This window comes from Homo sapiens, chromosome 17 (assembly GCF_000001405.40).
Source record: "Homo sapiens chromosome 17, GRCh38.p14 Primary Assembly".
Lineage (NCBI taxonomy): Eukaryota > Metazoa > Chordata > Mammalia > Primates > Hominidae > Homo > Homo sapiens.
In genome coordinates, this window is record NC_000017.11 from 35,662,010 (window position 1) to 35,674,493 (window position 12,484).

Sequence of the window (12,484 nt, forward strand, 5' to 3'; positions counted from 1 at the left end):
AATGTTTTGCCACAACATTCCTGAAAGCTGTGGCCTTCCTCCATCAATAGTAGTGACTCTCAACATTGGTGATTCTTTAAAGAGGAGTAGGGTGGGCCATTGCTGTGATATAAAGAAAGTAAACATACTGTAGCTCCCCAGGTGATTGATTCTTGTATGCTTTTTTAAAGAAAGCAGACATCTTTGAATGGAATGCCTCTTCATCTCAAGACTTGGATAAAAATGGATTTCTACCTATTCTTTTTAGTCTCCTTACTGAAACATCCTTATTTTTTTATCGCATTTCAGCATATTCTCTTTTGCTTGTACTCTACAGGTAGTTTATTCCATCTGTCAGTACAAACTGAACTATCGCTTTGATGTGGAGTAAATTCAAGTAATGTAGTTTATGCAGTTGATCTGCTCTACATGTAGAGCATGACAGTTTACTAGTTAGGTATAGGCTTGCTTGCAAAGTAGTTATTTGGGCTTTTTTTGTTTCCTTTGGAAGCCATGTATGTGGAGTTTTTTGGGTTTGGGTTTGTTTTTTTTTTTTTTTTTTTATGACTCTGGTACTTAATCTAAGAAACTGCTCGTTCTGAGTAGTGTGATTTTTCTCACCGTGCAGATCCTTCTGGTTTGGTGTAGTGTGGGAGGTGACCTGATGCCCATGTGTATAACTCTTGCATATGTGTTATGTGCTCATGAGTCTGACATCTGCGAGGATCACTGAAGTAATAATTGAATCTCAGTTATTTTCTTGCCTTTACTTCCAATCTGTCAGCAGAGGCCTTGGCTAAATTACAGCCTTTTGTTCATCCAAGGTGCTGTGCATTATTCTTTTACATAAACAGTGCTATTGTGTATATCAAAAATGGAAAGGAAGAATTATCCAAAGTGCCCTTTCTCTGTGCTGATGAAGGATTTCATCCTGGAGAAATATGCTGTGTGCCCAGCTTGAGTGGTATGGAATTGAAGAGAAACTGCCTTTTCCTGACCCTCAGTCCATGTTTTTCCCACTGTTTCTTTCAGGTTTTTACCTTTCAGATTATTAAGTCATAAGCTATTTATTAATAGTTTTGAGATTTTTTAGCCCACAGGAAATCCATCATCTATACTAGTTTTGCATCTTTATTTTTCTTCCTTTGGAGGAGCTTTGCAATGACTTAAAAGTTTAGTTTTTAGAGTTTGTGTTATGTGGAAAGATCTTTGTAAGTTGTTGCCTGTTAAATTTCTCAGTGAGGCTTCCATAACCACCATCTTTGTATCAGTGCATACGTTTAGTCAAGGCTGGCCTCAGACAGTTTTGAGAATAATTACTAATTTCTGAGTTCTAGTCCCTGTGCTAGAATTTTTATAATTTCTAATCCTCAGAACAACTCAAGAAGATAATTGGTATTGGACCCCATTTTACAGAAAACTGAAGGTCATACAGTAAGTTGCAGAGTTGGGATTTGAACCCAGGGCTTCTTTAAAACTTCAAAGTTTGTACACTTTATACTGTCCTATGATTTTCCAGTTTGTTTGTTATTGTCATCTTGCAGAATAGAATACAGTTTCACCTAACTGGTCCTTCTCAAACTGGGAAATGCAGTCTCTGGAGTACACAGCAGAGTGCAGGGTGCATTTGAAGCTGCAGAATAAATATGGCTCATTGTCTTGCAGTGTCAGTCTTACTTGATGGTAAATAATGTAAACAGAATATACACTGGTGTGTTACCACTTAGAATGTAAAATTGCATGACTTTAAGATAAAAAATACAGCTTGCTTGCCCTGGGCCTCTTGATGGTGTACATCCCAGGTCCCTGAGTATATGAGTTTGGGTTAATGTGTCACATGAAAGTTGGAGAAGGACTACAGAAGTGTGTTCATTCATGAAGAAAAGAGACTGAATAATGAGTAAGTTCATGCACCTTTCTTGCAGCAAGAGGAACAGATTGTTCATCTTATCCTTATTTATTTATTTAAAGACAGGGTCACTGCAACCTTGAGCTCCTGGGCTCAAGTAGTCCTCCCACCTCAGCCTCCCAAAGTGTTAGGATTTACAGGCATGAGCCACTATGCCTGGTCATTTTATTTTCATTTAAGTAAAACCACAAAAATCTCCGTTTCCCATCTCTTCACCAGTGAGCTGTAATAAAGCAGTAGTACTTTGAGGGCAGTTAAATGATGTGCAGGCATTCTTCTTCTGAAAATTTCCTATCAAAACCACTCAAACAATACATTTCCTCCCTAGAATGAGTTTTGACCCGGCTGGGAGATGTTTGTTTATTTATTTTTTTGAGACAAGGTCTCGCTTTGTCACCCAAGCTACAGTACAGTGGTGTGATCATAGCTCACTGCAGCCTCAAACTCCTGAGCTCAAGTGATCCTCTAACCTCAGCCTCCCAAGTAGCTGGGACTACAGGCACATGCTGCACACATGGCTAATGGGTGTTCATTTTTTTTCCTCAGTTGGTTCTATTCATATGTTTGTCAATGTTGATGCAGATATTGTGCTCTAAGTAAACAATTTTGTCAGGCTTTTGTCCTTTTGGTGATAATTTTCCCTAATAAAATGATTCACTTCAAGATTGTCTCCCAGGAAATACTGCCAGTAGCCATATATATATTACTGCCAGTAGCCATAAATTTATATTTACGAAACATTCATTCATTCAATAAGTAAATATTTGAGTGCCTAGTATTCAGGCTCTATTCTGTGTACTAGGCATATAGAATGGTCCTTGCAACCTTACGAAACAGTCCTTGGAAGCTTACATTCGCGTAGGGGAGACAAATGATAAAGTAGCAAATGCTGTGAAACAAAGTGAGACAGAATAAAGAGGTTCTCTTGTTGATTTTTACTATATTCATCATTGAGTTCTGTCTGACCTAAGAGACCTGTGGTGACCATTCTAAGGACTTTTTGTCTTACATCAGGAAGTAATCCGTTCCATCCCCCTACTTTTCCACTGATAGAAGCCTTTTCCCCCCTCAGGTTATGGAGTCTTCTGATGATTTTTATATGATCTCAATGCGTTTATGCTATTCCTTATCAAGTCTGCTCTTAGCCATCAGTTTATTAGCTTTTGCATGGTTACAGAGTCTTTCCACCAATTTGATTAATTATATTTTATGATGCTTTTTGGAATAGCTTTTTTTTTTTTTTTTTTGAGACAGGATCTCACTCTGTCACCCAGGCTAGAAAGCAGTGGCACTATCACGACATACTGCAGCCTTGACCTCCCTGGGCCCAGGTGATCCTCCCACCGCAGCCTCCGAACTAGCTGGGTCTACAGGCGCCCACCACTACACCCAGCTAAATTTTGTATTTTTTGTAGTCATGGTTTTGCCATGTTATTCAGGCTGGTCTTGAGCTCCGGGGCCCAGGCAATCCACCTGCCTCAGCTTCCGTAAGGGCTGGGATTATAAGTGTGAGCCACTATGCCCAGCCTTGAATAGCTTTTTGAAGATCATATTAAAATTTGCAGCCTAGTAGCTAAAAACCATACTTTAACCTACAAGATACTGTGTGCCATCTAAAATTTAAACTCTGTTAGAAAGACACACACTGATGGTTTTGATACCAATAGGATTTTGACGATAGTTAAGTTTTATTGTTTGTGAAGGGAATCATTGTATACTATTTTTGCACCATTCTGTTGACTCCTGAATAATAGAGCTATTGGTAAGCTATATGGCTTGGAGCATTCCTTAGATTCCCTTCAATTCAGTAAGTTCTAGAAAACAGTAAATAAAAGAGACACTAGCTCTAAACAGGAGCATAGAAATGTCTGAGCTTAAGATATACACCTGCAGTTAAGAGAATGTCTTCAGATACCTAGACAGCTCCACAGTTTTAGAAGCAAACAGATGTACTTTGGACTGGCCAGACATAGGTCAAAGGGGCTAACCCAGATCAGTCATTATGATAATTTGTGGGATTTTTTTTCCAGTCCGCTCAGTGGTTATCTCAGATGATATTCCTTTATAAAATTTAAAAATTCCTTTTCAAATTTTCTTTTCTTGGAGTCAGGCGGATTTATTCCCCTATATAACTTCAATCTTGAGTTCCTTCTCTGTATTTCTGCTGTTGTAGCACATTGCCATTGGACAGGGGCATTTCCTTTTGTTATCTATAGCTGAACTGAGCCTGTATGCGGGCTCAGCTCTGAGACTTTTGGCTCTACCTGGCTCTACAGAGCTCATGTAACCATGCCGAAATCCCTTTAGCCCATAAGTTACAATAAGTCACCATAAAACCCCTGTTTTCTGTCCAGTTACTGAACATTATTGTGCAATGACACATTATTGTGTAGTTTAACATGAACCAAGTTCCACTCAGCATTACTTCAGATGTGGTAAAGTGACCACTCTTTGGCAGTAGACAAATGTTAGTATTATTCTCAGTGCCATTTAATGACTACAGCAATTATGGGGGACTACACCACTAGCAGAAAATTTGGATTTAGGTATCAGTTACAGATTTTTAATACAGACTGTTCAATTCTCAGTATTTGAAATATTCTTTTCCTGAAGTTGCCGTCTTTCCCCCTTCTTTCTGTATCTGATTTAGTTGACCTATAATTGACATCATTTTCTTCATGGAGAAAATGGCAGCCTCAGTAAGGCAATCCTGGGAACAATAGTGAGTGGACACCTCCAAGAGACACTTAAAACACAGTATCTAGACATTTAAGATCAGGATCAAAGCCATACCCTGCACTCCTATTCCTTTTCCCTCCTGTCTCCTACCAGCTCACTGGATAACAGATATCACTCTGAGTTTTACAAGTTCTAGTTTGATTGATTTTGTACCCTACCTGATAAGTATGGGCTTAGAGTATGTCCAGACAGATGAACCTGAATCCCAATAATCTCAGGCTGGGTGCAATGATTCATACCTGTAATCCCAGCACTTCATGAGGCTGAGGTGGGAGAATCGCTTGAGCCCAGGAAGTTAGAGCCCAGCCTGAACAATGAAGTAAATTTTTTTCTTTAAACAAATAGTGTCCAACTGAACTGAAATAGCTACTGTCTAGTTCAGGCTGATATACAACAACTTTCTTGTGTAGTTGTTCACTTTCTAGCTTTCTTTTTTCTTGATGAGTATCTCCTTCCTCCTGTTTATCACTTGTAGATAGGAGAGGCCACTCACTGGGTAATTCGCTTCCATTCCTGCTGACATCTCCCTATTAGTCACTCACACCCATCATCATGCTGTCACCTTGCCATGGTTTCAGAGAGTAGGATAATCTCCATTAGAATATTTTTCAGTTAAGAGGGAAGTTGCTGAATAGTCCGCATAAGCTGTAGTCTTGCTAGTTAGAAAACATGTATAGTATTGAAATTGTCCTTTCCCTTTGCTCTCTGAACATAGTACAATTAGGTGAACCTTTGTATCCCTGGCTGTGTCTCTGATATCTTTTGGACCCTGTCTTTGTGTCAGATCAGAGTTCATGTTTCTAGCTGAGTTGTATCTGATATACTGAACATAAACAGAGGAATGTCAAGATTGCTTTTCAGTTCTTCATGATTTTGAATAAAATTGACAAGCACTGGGGGACAGTACTTTCAGATCCTTTCCAGCTAAGATAATATTCATATATCATTCAACGATAAAAAGAATGAAATCTAAGAAAATAAGGGCTATGAATGTGCTTTCTTTCCTTTGGTCTAAACACTACCCATGAATCTCTTTTCTCAATGCCTTTTATTGAATTTAGCAAAACTGCTGTTTCCTTTCCAATGTGTTTTTCTTTCTTGCTGTTCTGTGCCAAGCAGGTTCATAAAGAATTCTATCTCTTTGAATCTTGGATTATAAGCCTAGCCAGAAGAGGGGAGAATAAGTTGCGGTGAGAGGGGGTAAGCCCATCAGAAAGTCGAAAACCACCTCAGAGTATCAGGACAAATGAAACATTTTTCGTAGGATCCTTTCCATGGGTTTTCCTCGCTGCTCAAATTTTTTTTTTTTTTTTTTTTTTGAGACGGAGTCTTGGTCTGTTGCCCAGGCTGTAGTGCAATGGCATGATCTCGGCTCACTGCAACCTCTGCCTCCCAGGTTTAAGCAATTCTCCTGTATCAGCCTTCTGAGTAGCTGGGACTACAGGTTCCCGTCACCAGGCCCAGCTAATTTTTGTATTTTTAGTAGAGACGGGTTTCACCATATTGGTCAGGCTGGTCTTGAACTCCTGACCTCAGGTGATCAACCGGCCTCGGCTTCCCAAAGTGCTGGGATTACAGGTGTGAGCCACCACGCCCGGCCTCTCTGCTCAAATCCTGACTTCCTTTTTATTCACAAGTTCCAAAGTCATTTCTGAGCAGATGAAGTCTTGTCTGACTCTAAATAACTGATTCTCTAACGGCAGTGTTTTCAACCTTGGCTGTACATTAGAATCAACTGGGGAAGCTTTTCAAAATTCTGATGCCCAGGCTACACCCCAGAACAATTAAATTACCATCTCTGGGGGCGAGTACTTTTTAAAGCGCTACTCTCTGCAACCCCCACACACAGATGGTTGATTCCATTGTGTATCCAAGGTTGAAACCATACTACTGAAACATAATTGACATAGTTATTAGTATTCTTAGAAAGCTTAGTCTAAGAAACCTCCAGGTTTTTATGAAGGGGAAATTAAAAAATTAAAAGACAGCCTTTGCAAACTTATTTTGTATGAGTATTTTTTTAAAACACATATCAACCCTGTGTTCCAGTCTAACTGGCCTTTTCATTCTTCCATGCTTTCTTCACCTTTGTTCATGCTATTTGAGAAATGGCCTTCCCCCATTTTTGCTTTTTATAATTCCACCCTACCACCTTTTTGAAGTTTCTCTTCATTCTTTCAGCCAGAGGGAGGTTCTTCCCTTCAGAACTTCGCTTTTTTGCTTTAGTATATTCTGTATGGTTTTGCATTTGTGTTTTATTTCTCCAGCTAGTTTGCAAAGCTTCATTCTTATCTATGTAGTCCCCTCATTGCCAGGCATCTTTATATCCCTTGTAATGCCTTGCATCCAGTAAATGTTATGTAAATGTTTGTTTGAATAAAAGGAATTTCAGACGTCATGCTGCAGATGTGTGCTATGATAGAACTAGGGAGAAAGCAGATGTGTAGTATCTTTTCTATTCCCTTCACACTTTTCTAGTTACTCAAATTCTTGGTTTGGGGATGCCTTTTTTTTTTTTTTTTCCGAGATGGAGTCTTGCTCTTGTTGCCGAGGATGAAGTGCAATGGCATGATCTCAGCTCACCGCAACCTCCGTCTCTTGGGTTCAAGGGATGCTCCTGCCTCAGTCTCCCGAGTAGCTGGGATTACAGGCGCCTGCCACCACAGCCTGCTAATTTTTGTATTTTTAGTAGAGACAGGATTTCACCATGTTGGCCAGGGTGGTCTCAAACTCCTGACCTCATGATCCGCTCACCTTGGCCTCCCAAAGTGCTGGGATTACAGGCATGAGCCACCACGCCCAGCCAAGGATGATCTTTTTATTTATTTAAGTATGTGATTTTCATCCCCTGTGCAACCATTAAGTAGTCTTCAGGAATCAGATTCTGGAAATGTTAGCTCTGGTTTGGAATGCTTATAGTTTACAACAGAGCATGCTTGCTAATGCCAGTTATGAAGCACCTACCAGGGTTATTTTCTTTCATGGTTTAAACAGAACTTTGTTGTAGTCGTCACTATTTTTCAATATTTAAGATTAATTTTTAGATTTTTGAGAATGCCATTTTATGTACTACTCTCTGTTCATTGAGAAGATAAATCCTCTTTCCCCAATCTTAAAGATGCAAAATAATTTTTACAGCTCAACGACCTGCAACTTTCTACCACTAAATGACTATAAAGGAGAATGTGCTTAGAACAGACAAGGCATTTGATGATTCAAGGAAGTGTTTTAGATGCACAGTAAGAACTAGGGAAGAAACAACTGTGGAACTGTAGCAAAAAGTAGATTTTGCTTTTTAAACAGCTCCATTAGTTGTGTTTATGTGTGTTTTACATTGCCTATATGCCACCTATTTTCAGCTTGAGTTCTTTAATGTTTTTGTCAAGGAAGACCGACTTCAGAGTGAATTATATCTATCAGAATCCTGAGAAAAAAAGCAAGACTAAGACCATGTGGAGTTATTTTCTTGTCAGCTAGGTAATTCAGTTAGTCTGATTCTCTAATGCGTAACATCCTTTTTAAATGATCTCCAAATAAATCCACATTTCTCCTTAGTAGAATTGACTGTGAAAGAGATTTGAAGCACTGCATGCTTCCCCACTTCCTCCTTAGATAGTTCAGATATTTTCTTTTTTAGGAACATTCCAAACTCTAAAAATCACTTTTGTTCCACCTATAATTTTTGCAGCTTGAAGTTGCAGCTCAATACTAGTTTGGCTCTTACTTTTTCAGTGGGGCAGCAGGTTTTGTAAATTAAAACACATTAATTGTTTTGTTTTTTGGCTTTTCCTTTTCCAACACCTCCCCACCCTTTCCGTCCGCCCCCCACTATAAGTTTCCTTTTAAAGAAAAAATAAAGCATATTCGAAATATTGCCGCTTGGGGATAGAGCGTCTTAGAATATGCAAACTCTTTAAATCTTGTTTGGGTTTGTGCCTGTGTACCCCAGTGCAAAGATTGGATCTGAAACATCCCTGAGATGTCCCAGCTCCGTCTTCTTTACAAGTTTTCTCCAAACTGATACACCATCACTACCACCACTTAGTTCCCCTAGTACATATTTCTTTGTAATCTAGAATTTTTTTAGGCTTTGGGAGACAAGTTGAATGGCATGTATTTCCAGCAACTTGGTAGAGCAATTTACAGATTCTATATGGGCATCTAGTATTTAGCTAAATGAACTCTACCTCTCTCTCCTCTCTCTCCTTTCTCTCTTTCAGCTTGGCAGTGACCTTGGCGGGGGCATTGGAGGAAGTCCGGCAGTAAGTGCCATCTGTTTTTTTCACCATGAGAAGCACTGCCCCCTGTTTGATGCCTTTCCTATGTACACATTATCAGACCAGCCACTGCTGCTGTCTAGCACTGCACACCAAAACCTCTATAACAGTATATGGGTAGTAGAAAGTAGTATAGGGTTACTTGGAATTGTTGGGGTCATGCACCACATGGTGTAGAGACATCTTTAAGGTTTAATGTTCCAGTGCCTATAGAGATCTTTGTCTTTCTGATATTAAAGAGCTAAAGGAAATGGACCCTTCCATCTTGACTGGAGAATGCTTATTCCCTGGTGTCACCTAGAAAGAACTTGAGAGGGTCAGCTGGACTCAGAGTGAGACTCTCCTCGTAAATGAGTTAGTTTCAGGGGTGTGAATGTCCATCTCCCTGAGGAGAGCTTCCTACTAGGTATTTATGCCTAAATGGGAAAGGAAATAAGACTTTGCTGAACCCAGGTGGAAATGGAACTGCTGTTTAAGTTGGATACTTCTCCCTCTTTCTATAAAAACAAACTCCTTTCTTAGGGTACCCGTAGGCCTTTTGCACAGAATCATGGAAGCTAAAATTGGAAACAAATACAAAATCTTGGATCACTGTGTTCCTGTATCCTACTGAGTACTCTCTTGATAAAGCTTCTAAAGAATGTGTGTTCTTATCAATGACGAAAAAATAACTGTCATGATTAAAAAGATGAAGAATATACTAATTTGACTCCTAAGAATATTGTAATTATGGTGTTTTCTTATTGATTTATCAAAACTACTAAGATATATAGCAATATTTTAAGGACTGTTAATCTGTTCTTCCCAATCTCCCCTCTCCCTTTTTTTTTTCTCCTGCAGGTGGGACAATCCTTCATCCCATCATCGGTGCCTGCAACCTTTGCTCCTTCACCTACACCTGCTGTGGTCAGCAGTGGACTGAATGACCTGTTTGAACTCTCCACAGGGATAGGCATGGCACCTGGTGGATATGTGGCTCCTAAGGCTGTAAGTAAAGAGTTAACATAGCAATACTTTCTTAATGGACAGGACCCAAACTGTTTCACTTTCAACATTTGTGTTACTTCTACTGGTAATAAATCAAAGGTTTGGGCCCTTGTTCTGGAGGACTTAGAGGAAGATGAAAGGTGGCTTCAAACTTAGCAGTAGGAAGCACCATTAGCATCCTTGTTAAACATTTTTATAATTAGACTTAAAATTTGACATATTAATTATTTGAGTTTTGTTCTCATGTTTAGAAATATTGTCTAGTTTGTCAACATTGAAGTCAATCTAGTGAAAATCTAGTGGTATGTAGTGCAGCAGCAGGAGAAAAAAATGCAGAGAAGTCATTTCTCTTATTCCTCTTTCCCCATTGGTATTACGTATGGATTCTAGAATGCCACTGCTCAGATGTGGTTTTCATGGATTTTAGTGTACCTTTTTAGAGTTCCAATTTAGGTTTGTGTCACTGGGGCTCTTCTTGTCTTGTCTTAACCTTACTTGATGTCACTCACATTGAAGTTCAAGAGGGGAAACTCCCGGTTAATGAAGCTCATTTAAGCCCTTGGGAAAAGCACCATCCAGGCTAGGCCAGGCTTCATACAGTCTTACCTTTCTGAGGACCAATTTGGCTGAATTCTCTGCTTTCTAATCTGACTCCTTATGGGGGATCCCTGCTATAGAGATGTAGACCAGTTGTCCATTCCAGGAGTTGTAACTGTGATAACTGAGTGTGTATAGTTATTACAGTACATAGCAAAACCGAAGATATTCAAAATTGAGCCATAGTGTTTTGGCACAACTCGGTAGCTTTGTTGTAAGGTTTACTATATGGGATATTATCTTCAGACTTTTAATTATTAGTTATCTAATGCACTCATTTACTAACATAAAAGTATTGTATACAAATGACCAACGTAAATAATGTAAAAATGTAAGAAGGAAAATTGTCTCCCCCTGCCCCCATTTCCCATGTATAGCCACTGTTAACTTTCTTGTGTGTCCTTTCAAAAGAAAAAGATCATGCCCATAGCTGTATATTTGTATCCTTTGAACATTCCGTGTCAGTGGGATATACTATTTTGCACCTTGGTTTTTCTCTACCATATTCTTTTGAATCCGTATATCTACTGAATTGATACACCATAATTTATTTAATCACTCCTCTGTTGATGAACATTTAGGTTATTCCCTGGTCCTCCCCACCACCTGCCACTCTTTTAGTATGGCTGAGTACATTATCATGATTATTCACCACCCACAGATCCTTTGGTATTCTGTCTTAGGTGGTCAGAACAGCTCATGACTCCTGATTTTTTTATTTTATTTTTTTTTAGACGGAGTCTCACTCTGTCGCCCAGGCTGGAGTGCAGTGGCGTGATCTTGGCTCACTGCAAGCTCTGCCTCAGCCTCCCCAGTAGCTGGGACTACAGGCGCCCGCCACCACTCCTAGCTAATTTCTTTTTGTATTTTTAGTAGAGGCGGGGTTTCACTATGTTAGCCAGGATGGTCTCCATCTCCTGATCTCGTGATCTGCCCTCCTCAGCCTCCCAAAGTGCTGGGATTGCAGGCGTGAGCCACCACGCCTGGCCTTAAATTTTTTTATCTTTATTTTTTTAATAGTATAGGCCAGGTATACCACAGGTTCCAGGACCAAGGGGCGTGTTATGAATTATTTAGGTAGATAAAAAGAATAGGCATTCAGATTATATGAGCAATATCTGAGTATTTACTATTTACCACAAACTATAGCAAGAGTTAAAAACGTATATAAGACATAGTCGATGCCTTTAAGGGAATTACCAATAATGGCTTTGGTTGGAAATGATGAAAAAAAATCTTCAAAGATTACAGCCATGCTGTTTTCATTAGTAGATGCAGTTTCTTCCCTTTAAACCATTTTACCAAAACTAACAGAAAAACACATTATGCTCATTGGAATTTTTCTTTTCCTCTTGGTAGCAGTACTTAAAAGTAGTAAAATAACCAAGCTGAACAGAAGGTAGAGCAGAAGCCAGGGTCGTTTAAAGACTGGTTTTTTAAAATTATTATTATTTGGTTCTTAAATAATTGAGAACGATCTCAAAATTCAGAAAATAAGACTCTATCCGGAGTCTTTTGCACTGGCTTGATATTTATAGTATAAAAATTACTATAATTGCCTAAGGAAGTGAATTTGTTCACTTAATTGTTAATCTTAATTTGTTTTTTATTTGTTAAAAAATGCATAGCATCAAGATAAATCTTGTCTGATTCTATTGAGCTTTATACTGTGTTTCAGGTCTGGCTACCTGCAGTAAAGGCTAAAGGCTTGGAGATTTCCGGAACATTTACTCACCGCCAAGGGCACATCTATATGGAAATGAACTTCACCAATAAAGCTCTGCAGCACATGACAGATTTTGCAATCCAGTTTAACAAAAATAGGTAAGCAATCTGGGTCCCTAGCTTGATGTTGAGACAACAGTTTGCCTTAGAACCAACAAGAGAACATTCCATTTAGCACTGGTTAAAAACTCACATATTGGGCCAGGTACAGTGGCTCATGCCTATAATCCCAGCATTTGGGAGGCCGAGACGGGCTGATTACCTGAGGTCA

At 39.2% G+C, this 12,484-nt stretch overlaps 1 protein-coding gene across 13 annotated transcripts in view, besides 1 other annotated feature; it reads left to right on the forward strand.

The window, feature by feature from the left end:
* Positions 1 to 12,484, forward strand: part of AP2B1 (adaptor related protein complex 2 subunit beta 1) — a 139,092-nt gene that overhangs the window by 74,688 nt on the left and 51,920 nt on the right. For 7 of the 13 annotated variants that reach the window (XM_011524450.3, XM_005257938.4, XM_011524449.4 and 4 more), the window contains 3 exons: positions 8,848 to 8,889; positions 9,745 to 9,891; positions 12,167 to 12,312. In XM_011524450.3, the coding sequence (XP_011522752.1) occupies positions 8,848 to 8,889; positions 9,745 to 9,891; positions 12,167 to 12,312 (335 nt within the window). The remainder of the gene's footprint in view (positions 1 to 8,847; positions 8,890 to 9,744; positions 9,892 to 12,166; positions 12,313 to 12,484) is intronic. The other 6 variants (XM_047435509.1, XM_047435510.1, XM_047435508.1 and 3 more) reach the window with 1 other exon arrangement.
* Positions 3,708 to 3,908: a silencer, noted in NCBI's record as "peak2820 fragment used in MPRA reporter construct". NCBI's record gives its function as "represses an SCP1 promoter by STARR-seq MPRAs in K562 erythroleukemia cells {active_cell/tissue: K562}" and the evidence as "EXISTENCE:reporter gene assay evidence [ECO:0000049][PMID:32103011]".